Source organism: Homo sapiens, chromosome 3 (assembly GCF_000001405.40).
Source record: "Homo sapiens chromosome 3, GRCh38.p14 Primary Assembly".
In the NCBI taxonomy this organism is placed as follows: Eukaryota; Metazoa; Chordata; class Mammalia; order Primates; family Hominidae; genus Homo; species Homo sapiens.
The window spans coordinates 44729527-44748743 of NC_000003.12; the positions used below are offsets into that span (position 1 = coordinate 44729527).

Sequence of the window (19217 nt, forward strand, 5' to 3'; positions counted from 1 at the left end):
GAACCACCGAGCGGAAGCCGCTCCCACCTTCCTAGAGAGGAGACGGTAGTGGTTATTAGCCGAGGCGCGGACTGCTGACGTCACGCCGGCTGGGCGCGTCCGGGACTTACTCCTTTCCGCAGGGCAGCACCCAGGGACCTGAGTGTTGCAAGGTGCGAGAGGGGAGCGCCGCGGGGAGCGCCGCGGGAAGCGCATGGTGAGCGGTTTCTGCTGTGCCCGGCTGCCGCGGGTCGATTCCAGCTCCTCCCTCGGGAAGCAGGGCGTTTTTCTTCCTGGAGGGCCTGTGGAGCGGAGGCCCGAGGCCTAGGGCAAACTTGCCATGAAGAAAGGAGAGGCTGTTCGAGAGCCCTAGGCTGGGAGTCGGAGGACCTGGGTTCGATTTATACATACTTAAGCATGTCAGTGAACTTCTGGGCACTTTAGTTTTCTGATTTCCAGAAGTAAATACTGTTTCCTGCCTTGCCGTTTCCCAAAGTTGTGCGGGTTGAAGTAAGTATATGCAAGAATTAGTGCCTTCCCTTCATTATTTATTCTTCTCTAACAACAACAAAATAGGTACCGTATGAAGACATGTAGACTCAATACTTTAACAGCAGGCACTATTTATTGAATGCTTACCAGCTGGCATTCTTCTAAGTAGTTGCCATGTAGTAACCCACTTATTCATTACGACAACCCTATAAAGTAGTTACTGGTATCGTCTCCATTTAACAGTTGAAAAAACTGGAGCAAAAAAAGGTTAGGTAACTTGTTCAAAAGTCCTAGTCCTGGAGCCCATGCCATACTTGTAAGTTTGCTGGTGGAAGACAGAATGTAATCAGACTAGAAAGTCCTACAGTAGAAACTTGTAAAATTCTTTGAGAATGTAGACGAGGAAGGGCCTTGGAAAAGTCAAAATTTTCCCACAAGGAAGAGGTGTGAAGTTTCACATTTGAGCTAAATATTAAAGGTTGACTGCAAGCTTGAAAATAATTGCTGGCTTATTTGACCAAATGAGGAAATAAAAGAGACGTTTGAAAATAATTAAACAGTTTGTTCAGTGTCAGTTAAGAGATGCTAGTGGATTGGGATGTATTAGACAGGAAACCAGGTTCCTGCCTTTGAATACAGTGTTCTTTGCATTAGGAGGGTTCTTGAAACCTTTCCCTTATGAAGAGTCCTTAACATCTTACAGCAGATACTCCTTACACAAAGGCAATCCTCTTGTTATTTTCGAGAAATTCCCCCAATTCTAATTGTAGGAGGATAACTGACAGGAAGTTTCCCTGCTGTTGATTCAGCCCGTTCTTAACAAGACCCATTCACCTCACGGCTAGCTCATTTAGTACTTTTCAAATAAATGAATAAACAGATTCAATCAAAGATGGACTGGAAGGGCTTGATTTGAGGTTTTTGCTCTTTTCCCATCTGTATATAGAATCAAAGCTTTGTAGAATGTTGATATTACAAGAAGCTTTAAATATTATCTAGCTTTTCAATTTCATTTAACAAATAAGAAATGGATGAGACTGAGTGACCTGTGTTAGGTCATTGAACAAATTGGTGGCAGAGCTGAGACTAGAATCCACACCTCTTGACTGAGTCCATTACTGGTCCTACTGCCCTCTATTGTAGCCCTGCAGCATTTGACTTTTGAAATCAATGGCTTTTCCAGTAGACTTAGGGGAGCCATTGGGCTCCAACCTGATGTCGTATAAAGAAATTTTTACGCCCAGATGCTTAGTCCTAGGAAGGACCTGCCCTCTTTGTACATTGTCACATCTCTCTGAAGTCTGCCAACTCACTAATTTTTGTCACTGGAGATACTCCTCTAGGATAATAACGATATTCTTTCATTTGAACTTAAAATGGTCATTTGGTTAGAGATGGGATGTTCTTGAGTTACCCTGAATCTAGAAGGTGTAGGAAGTAGGCTGGCAATTTATGAGTGGCTCTTTTTCCTCCCTCAGTGCCTCAAATTCCTGCCTTTCCTCAAGAGAAGAGCCCCCAGGAGAAAAGCCAGTATTGCTTGTGCTCCTAACAACCTGTCTCTTGGTAAGTTAACTCTAACTAGAGAGCCCAGGATGGTGGTGGTTGTGAGACTACCATCAGAAGTGATGGCAGACCTATGGTGGGACCCACCAATGTCCACTAAATGTGGACCCAGCAGAAAATGCAGGACCACACAGAAATGGATACCATTTTACTCAAATCAGTGAGGGTGGCCCACTGTGAAAACGGCTATGGAATAATTGGTTATGGGACAGGTCCTAGAGTGCACTAAGTTCTTATCAGAGTACCTGAACTGAAGACTCTACAGTCATCTGGTAGCACATCTTTAAACCACTTATTGAACTGCTCAGTATGATGCCTTAATGGTGTAGTGGTTGGATCAAGGAATATGGGTAGTAAATTATTGGAAAACCCATTGCAAATGTGATTAGGTATTTCCTCAGAGAATATGGAATGGGCTTCTGGCCATGTTTAGAACAAGAGCTTAAGTTATTGCAGCTGACATTGTCACTGGCAATCAAAAGGCAACATGGAGCCTGGGTGTCTGTCAAACTCAGTAAAATAATTCTGGGTAAATTGTATTCTTAGGTTATGGGAACTCTGTGAAGAGAATATGACTGTGTCCTGAAGAATTTGGATTAGTTTAATATGTATGCATAATATATGTACACTTATGTACGTATTTATGTTTATATGCATCAAGAGATACCTAGAAGAAGGTCCATTAAAATACTATTATTTTCTGTGGCTGGGTTTCAAGTGATTTCCTCTTCGGAGTAGCTGACCATTTAATAGAATGAGCATGCATTCTTTGTATGATAAGAAAAAAACCTTTTTATTTTGGAAAAATGAGAGTAAAGGAATTAAAAATGTGCTTAGAGTTTTGGTTTTACATCTGGTTGCTTAAACCAACTGGAGTTTGTTTTTGTATATAGCATATCCATGTTGTAAGTTAATACATCAGATAAAGATAGGTTTAGGTAAGATAGTCCACATATTTAACAAACAGTATGGTACAGGCATTGCCCAAGCAGGTAGTCGTGAACAATTTGTACAGATATAGCAGTGTGTATCATTTGACTCTCAGCCCCAATAGATCCATATGTACCAACATGAAGTGATCTCTAAGACACATTTTTTAGTGGGAAATAAAAGCAAATTGCAGAGCAGAACCTGTAGAACAATTTCATTTATTTAAAGAGAATCAAGTGATATATGTGTATAGAAAAATGTGAAGAAAAAAGGAATGAAGGAAGATACTTCAAACTTGATAATCTCTGGGGAAAGGAATAGGTTTATTTTGTTAACAAAAATTTTCTTTTAGAGAAGGGGTCTTGCTCTGTATACTAGGCTGGAGTGCAGTGGCATGATCATGGCATACTCCAGCCTCAACATCCTGGGCTCAAGTGATTTTCCCACCTCAGCCTACTGAGTAGCTGGGACTACAGGTGCACATGACCACACCCAGCTAATTTTTTATTTTTTGTAGAGACAGCATCTCACTATGTTGCCTAGGCTGCTCTTAAAACTCCTGGCCTCAAGTGATCCTCCTGCCTCAGCCTCTCAAAGTGTTGAGATTATAGGTGCGAGCCACCATGCCTGGCCTATCTTATATACTTCCATATTATCTAAATATTTTAAAGTGAGGATATATAGTTGTGTAATTTACATGATTAGAAAACAGACAAAAATGGGCCTCAGAGAAGAAGCATGTGTTAGTGTCTCCAGCACCAACTAGGGAAGAGATTGCTCTGACGTGCAGCACCTGAATATTCATTCTTTAATTCTGTGTGGCTTATTTAGGGCACCAGGGTTTCAAAATTTGATAATCATTTAGTTATGATCAATTAAATATTTTGTTCTTTCTCCAGTTCTTTGTTTCCCAAAGAGTGCTCTAATGACAGTGATTTGGTTCACATACTGTTTTTCTAAAGTCCAGAGAATATGTTAACCAGCTCTATATTAAGCACAGAAGTTTTTCATTGTAAATAAATGAAGTGACTTTATTTTCTCTCTCATTCCCCTTATAAATCTGATTAGTATATTTCAGATTTCTTTGGCTACAAAGGTGAGGGCCAGCACCTGGACCATGATGCTGTAGTCAAGTTACTGTCCAATTAAACCTTCTTCTTTAAGGACCACTTCTCTAATTTTCCTGAAACAAAACAGTGATATCTTACTTTCTTTCAGTAAGCAGGACTCTAGTTTTCAAACCTATAGGTTTCCAGTTGGGCCTAGGGAGAGAATTATAGATGGTGAATGTTTTGGAGAGAAAGAGAGATCCAATGAGGCACCTGTAAAGGTGACTGAATGAAGAAGGATTGGTGAGATAGGCCTAGTGAAAGTTACAGCCTGGATCACATTTGAAGTTTTAGAAAGGAAACTCTTTGACTATCACTAGCCTGCCATGATTATAGGTAACCTAAAGAAATAGAGTTATTATTCCTCTGTTTTTTGAGCAGTAGAGACTAAGTGGACAGTAAGTTTCCGTAACACTTATATGCCCAAGTCTAGGATACTTATTCCTTTCATATTTTCCAGTTATTTATCACTGTGGGTGCAAATCTGGATGATCCCAAATTACCTGGGTTAGTTTTTAGTATTTGATTGTTTCAGAATCAATTGTGATATGGAATTTTATAGAATTCCTAATACCTGTCACTACTTAATCTCTTCAGAGAGGCTGATCATCAGGGGTTCACTTTCAGAGAAGTTGAGAATGCAGGCTGAACAAGGAAGAGGAAGGGGAATCCTGCAGGGATGAATGAGAGGACAGCAATGCATGTGTGATGTGTGTGAGCACACACACACAGTAACCTTTCCTAGGAGAACTGTATTACTCTAATGATAATCACCTTTGAGGAAAAAAAACTTGTAAGTATGAATTTGGTGTTACAAGCAGCATGAATTCCAGCCAAATATCACTCAGAATGAAACATGGGAGAGTTAACATGCAGAAGAAACCTTCAAAGTGTAGTGAATGTGGGAAGTTCTTTACTCAGAGATCATCTCTTACCCAGCACCAGAGGATTCACAGAGGAGAGAAGCCCTATGTGTGCAGTGAATGTGGAAGTTGTTTCCGTAAACAGTCAAATCTTACTCAACATCTGAGAATTCATACCGGAGAGAAACCTTATAAATGTAATGAATGTGAGAAAGCCTTTCAAACAAAAGCAATTCTTGTTCAGCATCTGAGAATTCATACTGGAGAGAAACCCTATAAATGCAATGAATGTGGAAAAGCCTTTTGTCAGAGCCCATCCCTTATTAAACACCAGCGAATTCATACTGGAGAGAAACCATATAAATGTACAGAATGTGGCAAAGCCTTCAGTCAGAGCATATGCCTTACTCGTCATCAGAGAAGTCATTCTGGAGATAAACCTTTTAAGTGTAATGAATGTGGGAAAGCCTTTAATCAGAGTGCATGTCTCATGCAGCATCAGAGAATTCATTCAGGAGAGAAGCCCTACACATGCACTGAATGTGGTAAAGCCTTCACTCAGAACTCTTCCCTTGTTGAACATGAAAGGACTCACACTGGAGAGAAACTTTATAAGTGTAGTGAGTGTGAAAAAACTTTCCGCAAACAAGCACACCTTAGTGAGCATTACAGAATTCATACTGGAGAAAAACCTTATGAGTGTGTTGGATGTGGGAAATCCTTTAGGCACAGTTCAGCACTTCTTCGACATCAGAGGCTTCATGCTGGAGAGTAAAATTTGGAATATAATGAGTATGGGAAGATTTGTATGGAAGCACCTTTTTTTTCTCCTAAATTCCTAGGAATGTAAGACTCAATCTGTAGCTAGTATGAATATTTTGTATTTTGAACAAGAAATGTTGTGTCCTAATGTGTCCTAGTCTGGAGTTTGATGCCTTATCTGCTGCTCAGTGGGTGTAACCTTATCCCTTCTGAGCCTCAGTTTCCCCATTCCCCCCAATAGAAAAATGGGGATATTTCCTAGGGTTGTCCTGAGAATAAAATGAGTTCTGTGTGACAGTTAACTGCCATTAATTAATTAGCCGTTCTAAAAGTTTATTTACAATATCAAAATCTGACAAGTAAATCAGCATTGTTGTTTGGTTCTCATAATGTATTGTTTCTTAAGAACATTTTGTAATTGGGCTATGATTTTATGATCTACAGACGTCTATTTAAACTATAATGTCTTGGTTTAAATAGGATAATACAATCTAAGACTGGTTTGTCCTTGAGAAATTTCAGATTTAATCAGAGAAAAATGTACTGATTGGGATTTGAGTGGACATTGTGGGGTGTATTTCTGGATACCCTCAAGATCTTCATTTAAATTTTGATACTTTCTATTACTAGATCTAATTTGATTTTAAGCTCTAAGTTTCACTTTTCCATTAAACGGAAAGCCTCCCTGACATTAACTGAATAAAACCTCATGTTGTGGGACTTCTGTGTGTGTTTAGGGTTGGCAGCAGGTGATTAGGAGAAGGCATATGACAGTAGAGAGGACTGGAATATAGAGGAGAATATAAGCATGTAGATGAGGATGTGGCTGTATTTGTTTTGAGTTCTAGGAGCACAGCACCAAATGTGGTCTCTTAAGGGAAGATGAGGGTAGAAGATGTTAAGATCCCAGGTTCCAGCAACTGATGCCACTGACTAACAACTAGCCACTTGTCAGAGGAAGGAGAGAACAGTGTCTTGGGGATGCTGATGGGTTGGAGTGCCTAATGGCTCATTAAAAGCCATGAAAAAGCAAAGAAATCAAAGAATACTTTTGATGGAGCTTTAGGCTATGCTAAGCCTTTTAATGTAAACAAGCACCTCTAACGCTAAAAGCACCCTTGCAAGAAAGGTAGGAGTTACTATTCACATCCTAGAGTCAAGGAAAAAGAGAAGATGTTTGACTTGCTCAAAGTCAAGCAGGTAATGTCAGAATTGAATCTCAAATCTATATCTTTATAGATTTGCAGTTCTGGTTTATATAATACCAAAGTCACATACAGGTAATTTCCCACCATTGAACCTTCCTGTTGGTGTGAGATGCCAAATCTGTGAAAACCAGACACAGGTGGCCAGGTGGGTGTCGAACTCCTGACCTCAAGTGATCCGCCTGCCTCAGCCTCCCAAAGTGCTGGGATTACAGGTGTGAGTCACCACATCTGGTCGGATTTTAACTATTCTAATAGGTATGTAGTGGTATTAATTGTTTTAATCTGCAGTTCACCAATAATATATGAATTTAGCATCTTTTCATATGTTTGCCATCTGTATAGCTTTGGTGAGGTATCTGTTAGAGGTTTTGCCCATTTTTAATTGGATTGCTCATTTTCTTATTGTTGAATTTTAAGTGTTCCTTGTATATTTTGTATAACAGACCTTTATCAGATAGGTCTTTTGCAAATATTTTCCTCCCAGGCTGTGGCTTATTTTCTCAATCCTTGATTCCTTCTCTTTACTTTTTTTTTCTTTTTTCTTTTTTTAAAGAAATGGTAGCATAATATACACAGTTGTCCATTTTTTAAAGACTAAACCATCTCACAGATTGTTCTGTATCAGTAAATAAAGATCTTTCCCCCACCCTTGCCCAGTGTGTCATTGTCTTAATAGACCATTATTAGTTCCCTATTGGTGGACACTTAATGGCTTTTATTTTTCTGTTGTAAGCAAAACTGCATATACAGCATCCTTGTCTTTAGGCACATGTGCAAGATATTTATAAGGTAATTCTCAGGCTGGGCACAGTGGCTCATGCCTGTAATCCCAGCACTTTGGGAGGCCGAGGTGGGTGGATCATTTGAGGTCAGGAGTTCGAGACCAGCCTGGTCAACATAGTGAAACCCCACCTCTACTAAAAATACAAAAATAATTAGCCAGCATGATGGAGGGCACCTGTAGTCCCAGCTACTCAGGAGGCCGAGGCAGGAGAAATTGCTTGAACCTGGGAGATGAAGGTTGCAATGAGCTGAGATTGCACCACTGCACTCCAGCCTGGGCGACAGAGCAAGACTACGTCTTAAAAAAAAAAAAAAGAAGAAGAAGAAGTATGTGCCTTGGTAGCTTTGATAGAGAGTGTGACCTCCCAGATGTTTAGTTAATCCACTAACAATGGATGAGAGGTGTGCTCAGTAAAGCAAATAAACAATTGCTCAACAATTCTTTGGTACCAAAAAATTTTTTTTGAATTTCCAACTCACCCCACATTGTTGACAGAATTTCCACCTGTTAGCTAGGAGGCTGAGGAAGGAGGATCAACTGAGCCCAGGCATTCGAGAGCAGCCTCAGCAACAAAGCAAGACCTCAAAAACAAATGAACAACCTGTTTACCCTGATGTGATTTTAATGCATTTTATGCCTGTATCAAAATATCTCATTTATTCCATACATATATACACTTACTATGTGCCTACAAAAATTGAAAAATAAAAATAAAAAATTTCCACCTGTTATCTGAGTAACCAGCATAACACACTTGAATCCATTTGCAATGTAGTTGTCACATTCTTAGTGATTCTGCATAGGATCAAGCATTTTACTCCCTATGTGTTCTATTGCAGTCATGCCCAAGCCTGTACATACTGAAATATATATCGTTTTTATTATAAATTATGTTGTTTTTAAGACTTTTTCATATTAAGCTAGGTGATTTATTAATTTTTAATAATGTATATATGTAGGTGGTTTATATTTCCTAGGATTTTCATTTTAGGGTAGTAAAGGTGGTATTATGAAAATATCTGTGTAGGCTGGTGGCAGTGGTGCACACCTGTAATTCCAGTGTTTGACTGGCTGAAGTAGGAGGATCGCTTGGGTGCAGGAGTTCGAGGTTGTAGTGAGCTGTGATCTTGCCACCACACTAGAGTCTGGGTGACAGTCCGACTCTGTCTCAAAAAAACTCTGTAGGGCATTGGGTTTGATGGGGGCTTAGTGAACGCTTCATGGCATATATTAGAGAATGCAGAAAATGTGCTATAATGAGACTAGAGTTTGAGCCCTAGAAGTATGGCCTTAGGTAAAGTTCTGAACATTGCCCCCTTTTATTTGTAAAATGGAAATGAGATACTATTAATAATACTCCGGGACTTCTGTAAAAAAGAAATACACAAGAATCCTAGATGTATACATAAAACCCAGAACCATAAAACTCCAAATGAAATTTTAGAACATTATTTTTGCAAACATTAGGTAGGCAAAGATTTGTTGGACAGGAGAAAACATTAGCCATAAAATTAAAAATATAATAATTTCATACAATCAATAAATTAATGAAAATGAAGAATATTCTGTCACTAAGAGAAACCTTTAAGAAAATTAGCAGACAAGCCACAGGCTGGGGAAATTTTTTTTTTTTTTTTTTTTGAGACGGAGTCTTGCTCTGTCGCCCAGGCTGGAGTGCAGTGACACGATCCTGCCTCAGCCTCCCGAGTAGCTGGGACTACAAGGGCCCGCCACCACACCCGGCTAATTTTTGGTATTTTTAGTAGAGACGGGGTTTCACCGTGGTCTCAATCTCCTGACCTTGTGATCTGCCCGCCTCGGCCTCCCAAAGTGCTGGGATTACAGGTGTGAGCCACTGTGCCCGGCCACGGAAAATATTTATAACATATATTAACAAGGGATTTGTACCCAAGATTTATAAACAGCTCCTACTAAGGAAAAATAAAAATATAAACAACCCAATTAAAAATGGGCAAAAGACTTGAAGAGACATTTAAACAAAGATATACAACTAGCCATTAACACATGAATATGATGCTCAGTGTCTGTGATGATTAATTTTATGTATCAAGTTGACTAAGTAAGCTATGGTGCCCAGATGTTTGGTCAAACATCAGTCTAGATGGTGGTTTTTAGATGTGACTAACATTTAAATCAGTAGGCTTTGAGTAAAGCAGATTACCCTCTATAATATGGATGGGCCTTAGCCAATCAGTTAAAGGCCTTAAGAGAGAAAAGACTGACGTCCCCTGAAGAAGAAAGAACTGTCTCCAGACTGCCTTGGGACTTGAGCTGCAACAACTCTTCCCTGGGCCTGCAGCCTGCTGGCCTGCCCTGCAGAATTTGGACTTGCCAGCCACCAGCCCACACAAGCATGTAACCAATTCCTTAAAATAAAATCAATGTGTATCATTCTCTCTCTTTCTATCCCCATCTATGGGTTCTGTTTCTGTGGAGAACCATGCATGATAATACAGCATCTTTAGTCATGGGAGATATGCAAATTAAAACAAGATACATCTCATACATTCTTAAATCCCTAAAACAAAGACTAACAACCCCAAATATTGGTGAATTTGTGTGGCAACTGGAACTCTCAAACATTATTTATGGGAGTTAAAATGGTATACTCATTTTGGCCGGGCATGATGGCTCATGCCTGTAATCCCAACACTTTGGGAGGCCAAGGTGGGCAGATCACTTGAGGCCAGGAGTTCGAGACCATCCTGGCCAACATGGTGAAACCCCGTTTCTACCAAAAATACAAAAATTAGCTGGGTGTGGTGGCACACAGCTGTAATCCCAGCTACTTGGGAGGCTGAGGCAGGAGAATCGCTTGAACCTGGGAGGCAGAGGCTGCAGTTAGCCGAGATCATGCCACTGCACTCCAGCCTGGGTGACAGAGCAAGACCCTGTCTCAAATAAATAATAAATAAATAAATAAAATAAAATGGTATAATCATTTTGAAGAACTATTTGGTAGTTTCTTAAAATGGTAAACATACATTTAGCCTATGATCCAGCAGTTCTAGTCTTTATTTACCCAAGAGTAATAAAAACATGTTCACAATAAACTTTCAGAAGAATGTATATAGCAGCCTTATTCTAATAGTGAAAAACTGGAAACAACCCAAATGTCTGTCAATAGGTGAATAAAGAAATTATGCATGGCCGGGCATGGTGGCTCATGTGTAATCCCAGCACTTTGGGAAGCCAAGGCGGGTGGATCACCTGAGGTCAGGAGTTCGAGACCAGCCTGACCAGTACGGTGAAACCTCGTCTCTACTAAAAATCCAAAAATTAGCCAGGTGTAGTGGTGCGTGCGCCTGTAGTCCCAGCTACTCGGGAGGCTGAGACAGGAGAATTGCTTGAACCTGGGAGGTGGAGGTTGCAGTCAGCGGAGATAGTGCTACTGTACTCCAGCCTGGGCAACAGAGTGAGACTCCATCTCAAAAAAAAAAAAAGAAATTATGCTATATTCATATAATGAAGTATTACACAGCAATAAAATTACCAATACACACTCAGCGTGGGAACTTTCTGGGATGATTGAAATGTTCTATAGTTTCTTGTTTGTGTGGTGACTACACAGGTAAACACAACTGTCAAAACTTACCAAACTGAACACCAAAGATACATATGTTAATTATATCATTATAATTCACATGCAATAATTTATATTATGCCTCACCATGAACATTTTCTAAGGATTAAATGAGTTTAAATATATTCTTATAGATTTAAAAGGCTATGATAGTAAGTATTGGAACTTGAAATCTCACAACTTATTCACAGATGGAGCCTCCACCTGGAGAGTAATAATTTTAATACACTGATGGCAGAAAGCAAAATGAATTGTACAATTCCTTTGGAAAAGAATGGCAGTTTTTCAAAAGATTATATACCTGCAATACAATCCAATATTCAACTCCTAGGCATTTACCCAAAAGAAATGAAAACATGTTTAGAAAAAGACTTGCACGTGAATGTTCATAGCAAATTTATTTGTTATAGCCAGAAAATGGAACCAATCCAAATGTCTGTCATTTGTTGTAGACCCTCTCACTGTATGGGAGCGGCTACTAAAGAAAGCTAGAACTTTGGATGATGATTCGCCAGGTCAGTAAAATAGGATGATATTTGGAAAGAGAAAGGCAGAAGTTGCAAGGCCAGACAGGGAACATGTTGAGTTGCAAAAGAGGCACAGCAGTAACTAGATACATGAGGTGACAGGGAGAAGTCAAGACACCAAGCTTATACCCCTGCAGCTGGGATTCCTTAAATCCTTTACCTGCCCCAAAGCCCAGGCCATAGCTCCGTTTTTGCCTTGCCCATCACCATTTCCATTCTGCCAAGTCCAGCTTCCGTTGCTTATGGGGTTACAGAGAATCTCCTCTGAGAGGCAGACGGTCCTGCTGCATTTGTGCCAGAGACTCAGGTTGACTTGATGACTCAGGGAGAAGCAAGGGCAAAGGGAAAACTGATGCCAAGCCACCATCTGCACAGGGTGTGAGGGGAAAAGTGGACTGGTCCAGCTGGATTGGTGCAGAATGGAGAAGGTTGGTAAGGATTGAGAGTCTCAGAGCAACTGGGAAGATGGTTTGCATTCTAGGACCCTACACCGCAGATTAAGAAGGATCTAGGCTCTGGAGAAAATAGAGGCTATGATCAACTGAGTAGCGAGAAAAGTTATGGCTATGCATGGGAGAATTTGGGGAAACAATGATTAAAAATACAAAGTTCAGGGTCTCATCCTGTAGCTAAAGAACCTAGTCAGCTGTCCCTCAACAGCTCCAGGGACCAGGCTTGTCTTAGCCATTGCCACTTTCTAAGACAACATTCAAATTGATGATACTAAATGGTCCCTTCTACCCCAGCTTCTAGGACCATATATGCCTAAGTCATATTAAACCTAGAGCTGCCATTAGCCTAAGAATGACTGTGGGGCCAATGGGGAGGATTCCTAACGTCAAACCTGGACAGATGCCTTCTGTCTGCTCTTTCTCCTCCCTGAAAGACTCCATGCATGATCTGGGAGAAGCCATAGGTTGGTGAGAGTAGGTGTCAGTTGAAAGATAGTTTCTATAGTAGAGTTTATTGCTTTCTGGGGGAGAGAGCAGGCCCAGGAGTGGGGAAAGGGCCACAGAAACAGGCGCCTGGAAACTCAGACATGTGTCTTCCTTCCCAATGTGACTGTCTGGCCCTGGTTGTCTTGAGCCATCCAGCCAGATATGACTGTATGTTGTGCTGTTTTGTGTCAAACATCAGAACACCTCTGACCTTTACAAAGTGGGAGGGAATCCCTTGTGGGCTGCAGGACTCCTAACAATTAAAAAAAAAAAATCCCACTAATACCTAGAACTGCGCTAACACAGTAGCTACGACCCATTTGTGGCTATTTAAATTTAAATAATTAAGTAGAAGGAAAAATTCAGTTCCTTGGTTGCTCTAGCCACATTTCAAGTGCTTAATAGCCATAGGTGGCTAGGGCAGAATGTTCTATTGGACAACACTTGGACTTGATGTTTGGAAGTCCCAGACAGTAAATTTCAACATATTTTTTGGACGCTGGTATAGATTTTTCAACCTTTTGGCAAAGTAAGTACAATAAACTACCACCTGTCAAAATCATTATTTCATAAAATAAAGTATATTTTAACTTCAAAGAAACAAGAAAGATATAATCTCAGAATAAAGGACTCGTTCAGAAGAGAGGATAATTTGACACCTTTACACTGACCCTTTTGACCCCAGACAAGCCCTGGAGTCTGTATTGGCATTTATGTGCCATTGCCATACCCTAGGATTCTGGCCTCTTTAGTACTGGACATCGGTTGCCCTTGTGCCCTATCCTTGAAAAGGACATCAGGAAGGCCCTAGCAGGATCTTCGTGGCCTTTGGGAGTGAGGTGTCCTTCTCAGTGCATATCAGTAGGTCATGATGTCAGTATGACATTTTTTTTTTTTTTTTGAGACGGACTGTTGCTCTTGTTGCCCAGGCTGGAATGCAAAGGCTCATCGCAACCTCTGCCTCCCAGGTTCAAGCGATTCTCCTGCCTCAGCCTCCCAAGTAGCTGGGATTACAGGCATGTGCCACCATGCCCGGCTAATTTTGTATTTTTAGTAGAGATGGGGTTTCTCCATGTTGGTCAGGCTGGTCTCAAACTCCCGACCTCAGGTGATCCACCTGCCTTGGCCTCCCAAAGTGCTGGGATTACAGGCGTGAGTCTGGCATCAGTATGACTTATTACTGGTAATATTAACTTTGATCAGGCAGTTAAGGTGACATTTGCCTAGTTTCTCCACTGTAATGTTACTAGCTTTTCTTTCTTCTTTTCTTTTCTTTTTTTTTTTTTTGAGACAGAGTCTCACTCTGTCCCCCAAGCTGGAGTGCAGTGGTGCAGTCTTGGATCACTGCAAGCTCCACCTCCCGGGTTCACGCCATTCTCCTGCCTCAGCCTCCCAAGTAGCTGGGACTACAGGCGCCCGCCACCACGCCCGGCTAATTTTTTGTATTTTTAGTAGAGATGGGGTTTCACCATTCACAGGATGGTCTCGATCTCCTGACCTTGTGATCCGCCCGCCTCAGCCTCCCAAAGTGCTGGGATTACAGGCATGAGCCATCACGCCTGGTCACTAGTTTTTCTTTTGTAATTAGTGTCTTGTGGGGAGATACTTTGAGACTGTGAAAATACTCTGGTTTTGAGCATAATTTTGGCCACTAATTTTGGCATCCTTTGATGAGTCTTTCCAACAGCACTTGTGTATTAGTTTCCTATGGCCGCTATAAAAAATTATCACAAACTTGGTGGCTTAGAACAACAGAAATTTATTCTCTCAGAATTCTGGATGCCAGAAGTTTCAAATCAGCTACTCTGCTCAAATCAAGATGTTGGCAGGGCCATGTTCTCTCCAAAGGCTTTAGGGGAGAATCCATTGCTTGTCTCTTCCAGCTTCTGGTGCAGCCAGTATTCCTCAGCTTATAGCCACATCACTCCAGTCTCTGCCTCCATCTTCACATTTCCTATTGTGCCTAATCTCCCTCTATCTGTCGTTTATAAGGAAAGGTGTGAGTGTAATGGCATTTAGGACCCACTTATATAATCCAGGATAATCCACTTATCTCAAGATTGTTAATTTAATCACTTTTGCAAAAACTACCACGTAAGTTACCATTCACAAGTTCCAGGATCAAGACCCGTTGTCTTTAGGGACCATCATTCAGCCCGCTAAATTTTTTTACTGTGGAATTTGCCAAATACTGTTTCTATTTCCATAATTCCTCCTAACTTTATTAAAATTCTACTATAAGGAAGACCTAGCCCTTCTCATGTGTTCAAAATATATATATATTGTTTATATCAATAAGAATTTTATGAGTTGTTATCTACTATCATTAATTCCTTGTTCAAATTGCCCCAGATTTGGCCATTGGTAACTCCTGCTAGTTGGCTCCTGTATCCTTTTGACATGCCTTCATCATTTTTATATTTTTGAGACAGGATTTCATTCTGTCTCCCAGACTGGACTGCAGTGTTGTGATCACAGCTCACTGCAGCCTCAACCTCCTGGGATCAAGCAATCCTCCCACCTTAGCCTCCCAAGTAGCAGGGACTACAGGTGTGCGCCACTAGATACTGCTAATTTTTGTACTTTTTATAGAGATGGGGTTTTGCCATGTTGCCCAAGCTGGTCTTGACCCCCTGGGCTCAAGTGATCCACCTGCCTTGGCCTCCCAAATTGCTGGGATTATAGGCGTAAGCCACCTCCCCCAGCCGTTCATCATTTTTTAAACACCTCCTAATTTTTTGGCACAAGAGGTTCCAGGATCAGTTTTTACTATCTCCACTTTAGCCCTCAGAATCAACTATTTCTCCAAGGAACCCTAGTTTCTTTTTGGAGAATGATCTTTAGAAACTCTCTAAGCAATGCCGCCACCATCAGTGTTATAAACACTGGGAGCTCATATCTCTCCTATCCAATTCCAACCCCAACCTAGGACCTTGCTACTACCTTTAATTCCCAAAGACTAGCTAAATCTTGACTGTCACATTTGATAAGGTTTTACCAGTTTGAGGGCCACAAAAAAAGGGAAATACTGTACACTAACATGGCCCAGTTCTCATGGGATTTCCTAAAGTTGCCTCCCTGCCTAGCCTTTGGCTTGCCTGCCTCATGCTTAGCAAAGAGCATCTTTCCTCTTAAAAGTGAGAGTCTCCTAGGTTGTAGGGCAGTGGTTCACACTCTTGGCTGCAATTTGAAATCACTGGGAGCTTTCAGAACTACTGGTTCCACCACCAGAGTTTCCAATTTAATTAATGTAGGTGTGGTTTGGGTATTAGTGGCTCTGTTTCTCACACCTAGCTATACATAAGAATCACATAAGGAGTTTTATAAAAAAGAACTGGATGTCCAACTATTAGGTTAAAGGTTGAAAAGAAAGTTTATAATGAGCAGTTCAAGCTTGTCTTAATCCATTTTTTGTTACTTAGAATACCTGAAACTGGGTAATTTATTTTAAAAGAGGAATTTATTTATTTTTGAGACAGGGTTTTGCTCTGTTGCCCAGGCTGGAGTTCAGTGGTGCAAACATGGCTCACTACAGCCTTGACCTCCTGGACTCAAGTGATCCTCCACTTCAGCCTCCCAAGCAGCTGGGACCACAGGCACACATCACTGTGCCTAGCTAATGCTTTCATTTTTGTAGAGATAGGGTCTCGTCATGTTGCCCAGGCTGGTCTCAAAACTCCTGGCTCAAGCAATTCTCCTGTCTCAGCCCCACAAAATGTTAGTATTGCAGGTGTGAGCCACCACACCTGGTCTGAGGGATTTACTTCTTAACAGTTTTGGATGCTAAGAAGTCCAAGGTAGAGGGGCCACATCTGGTGAGGGTCTTCTTGCTGGTGGAGACTCTCTGGAGTCCTGATGCAGTGTATCATATGGTGAGGGGACTGATTATGCTAGTTCAGGTCTCTCTTCCTCTTCTTATGAAGCCACTAGCCCCACTCCCATGAGAGCCCACTAATCCATGAACCTATTTACCCATTAATGCATGAATGAATTAATCAATTCATGAGGGCAGAGCCCTCATGACCTAATAACCTCTTAAAGGCTACATTGGGGATTAAATTTCAACATGATTTTGGAGGGTACAAATATTCAAACCATAGCATTTCATCCTTGGCCTCCCCAAACTCACGTCTTTCTCACGTACAACCCTGTAACTCCAAAAGTCTTAACAACCAGCATCAACTCAAAAGTCCAAAGTCCAGAGTCTCATCTATGAGCCTATAAAATCAAAACAAGTTATTTACTTTCAAGATACATTGGTGGTACAGGAAAAAGACAGATTCCCATTCTAAAAGTGAGAAATAGGCAAAAAGAAAGGAGTAACAGGCCCTAAGGAAGTCTGAAACCCAGGAGGGTAGACATTATTATTTTTTTTTTGAGGCGGAGTCTCACTGTATTGCCCAGGCTGGAATGCAGTGGTGTGATCTCAACTCACTGCAACATCCGCTTCTAGGGTTCAAGTGATTCTGCCGCTGCTGCCTCAGCCTCCGGAGTAGCTGGGACTACAGGCATGCACCAGCAATACCCAGCTAATTTTTGTATTTTTAGTAGAGATAGGGTTTCACCATGTTGGGCAGGCTGGTCTCTAACTCCTGACCTCAAGTGATCCTCCTACCTCGGCCTCCTAAAGTGCTGGGATTACAGGCATGAGACACTGCACCTGGCCAAATCTTAAAGCTGGAGAATAATCCCTTTTGCCTCCATGTGCTTCCTCCTGGACACACTGGGGCGGGGATTGGGCCGCCAAAGCCTCAGGCAAGCCCACCCCTATGGCATTGCTGGGTGCAGCCCACATGGCTACTCCTACAGGATGGAGTCTGGTGCCTGCAGCTTTCCCCAGCAGGTGCTGCATACTGCCTGTGATTCTGTAGCTCTTGGTGATGGTTCTGTTCCCATGGCTCCACTATGCATGGCCCTAGTGAGGACTCTCAGTAGTGGCCTTGCTTCCACAGCTCCACGATGCATTGCCCTGGTTGGGACTTTCTGCAGTAGCTCCAGCTCCACATCTCTGCTCGGTGTTGCTCTACTGGGGGCACTCTCTTTGGGGGCGGCTCCACCCCTGCAACAAGTCTCTGCCTGGGCAGCCATCCTTTGAAATTTTGGTGGAGGCTGGCAAACATCACATTTTTTTTTTTTTTTTTTCCTGCAAGCCTGCAGAATTAGCAGGTGGACATCACCAAAATTTACTATTTTTACTCTGGAGCTTCAAATACATGTTCAACATTGCTTAGAAGCAGCATGAGGAAACAGGCCTCGTCTTTCTTCTTTGAGCCTCTCTTCTCTTGACTCCAAACTCACCACTCTTAGCAAAATAGATCTTGCAGTTAACAGAACCCACTGTTCTTAGGAAGCAGTTTCCCTAAGGATGGTAAGCACATCTCAGGTGCCACCATGTCTTGGTCTTTGTCTTTCATAACAAGATGTGCTTCCTGGCTGATAGCTTTTATGTTTACATTGCTAGAAATATCACCTGCAGTAAAGCCTTCACCAATATGATGTGTTTCAAGATTTAAGAACTTTTAAACGTTTTTCATATTCCTTGTTTACATTTTTCATCTTTTTTTTTTTTTTTGAGACAGTCTTACCCTGTCATCCAGGCTGGAGTGCAGTGGTGTGATCTTGGCTCACTGCAACCCCTGCCTCCTGGGTTCAAGTGATTCTCTTGCCTCAGCCTCTTGAATAGCTGGAATTACGGGGAAGAGCCACTGTGCCCAGCTGATTTTTGTATTTTCAGTAGAGATGGAGTTTCAACATGTTGGCTAGGCTGGTCTCAAACTCCTGGCCCCAAGCTATTGCCCCACCTCATCCTCCCAAAGTGCTGGGATTATAGGTGTGAGCCACTGCACCTGGCCCATTTCATTTTTTATTATAGTTCTAATAGAGTAGTCTTCCATGGTTTTTCTTCTGTGGTTTATACCCAAGTTACAGTACAACAAGATATTTTGAGAGAGTGAGCAAAACCACATTCACATAACTTTTATTATAGTATATTGTTATAATTGTTCTATTTTATTGTTGTTAGCAAGCGAAACCATTCACATAACTTTTATTATAGTATATTGTTATAATTGTTCTACTGTATTATTATTGTTAATCTCTACTGTGCCTAATTTATAAACTTTACCATAGGTATGTACATATAGGAAAAAACATACTACATATAAAGTTTAGTATTACCTGTGGTTTCAGGCATCCACTGGAGGTCTTGGAATGTATTCCCCATGGATAAGGGAGGACTACTATAGTCTTTATCAGTGGTTCTCAAACGTGAGTGAATATCAGAACCACCTGGCTGGCATGTTACAGTGATTACTGGGCCTTACATACAGTTTCTGATTCAGCAGGCAAGGACCAAGATTTTAATTTTTAGGTTTCTAAGGGGTTCTGATGCTGATGGTACAGGGTCTACACATGAGACCTACTCATCTATAAAAAGAAAATTACAGACAACACTCTCA

General features: G+C 41.3%; 1 protein-coding gene across 3 annotated transcripts; it reads left to right on the plus strand.

Moving 5' to 3' along the window:
• ZNF501 (zinc finger protein 501) lies at positions 109 to 7557 on the plus strand. Of its 3 annotated transcripts, none has more exons than NM_001258280.2 (3): positions 109 to 489; positions 1950 to 2034; positions 4671 to 7557. In NM_001258280.2, exon 3 carries the CDS (start codon positions 4896 to 4898, stop codon positions 5709 to 5711), a length of 816 nt encoding a protein of 271 aa, NP_001245209.1. In that variant the 5' UTR covers positions 109 to 489; positions 1950 to 2034; positions 4671 to 4895; the 3' UTR covers positions 5712 to 7557. The 3 variants fall into 3 exon arrangements, with proteins under 3 accessions (NP_001245209.1, NP_659481.2, XP_047303355.1); NM_145044.4 differs by having other exon boundaries at positions 109 to 196; XM_047447399.1 differs by having other exon boundaries at positions 109 to 152.
• The last annotated feature ends 11660 nt before the right edge of the window (positions 7558 to 19217 follow it).

Excerpts from the sequence above, each read along its gene's own strand:
- ZNF501 (NM_001258280.2), top strand. The coding sequence starts at position 4,896 with ATGAATTCCAGCCAAATATCACTCAGAATGAAACATGGGAGAGTTAAC.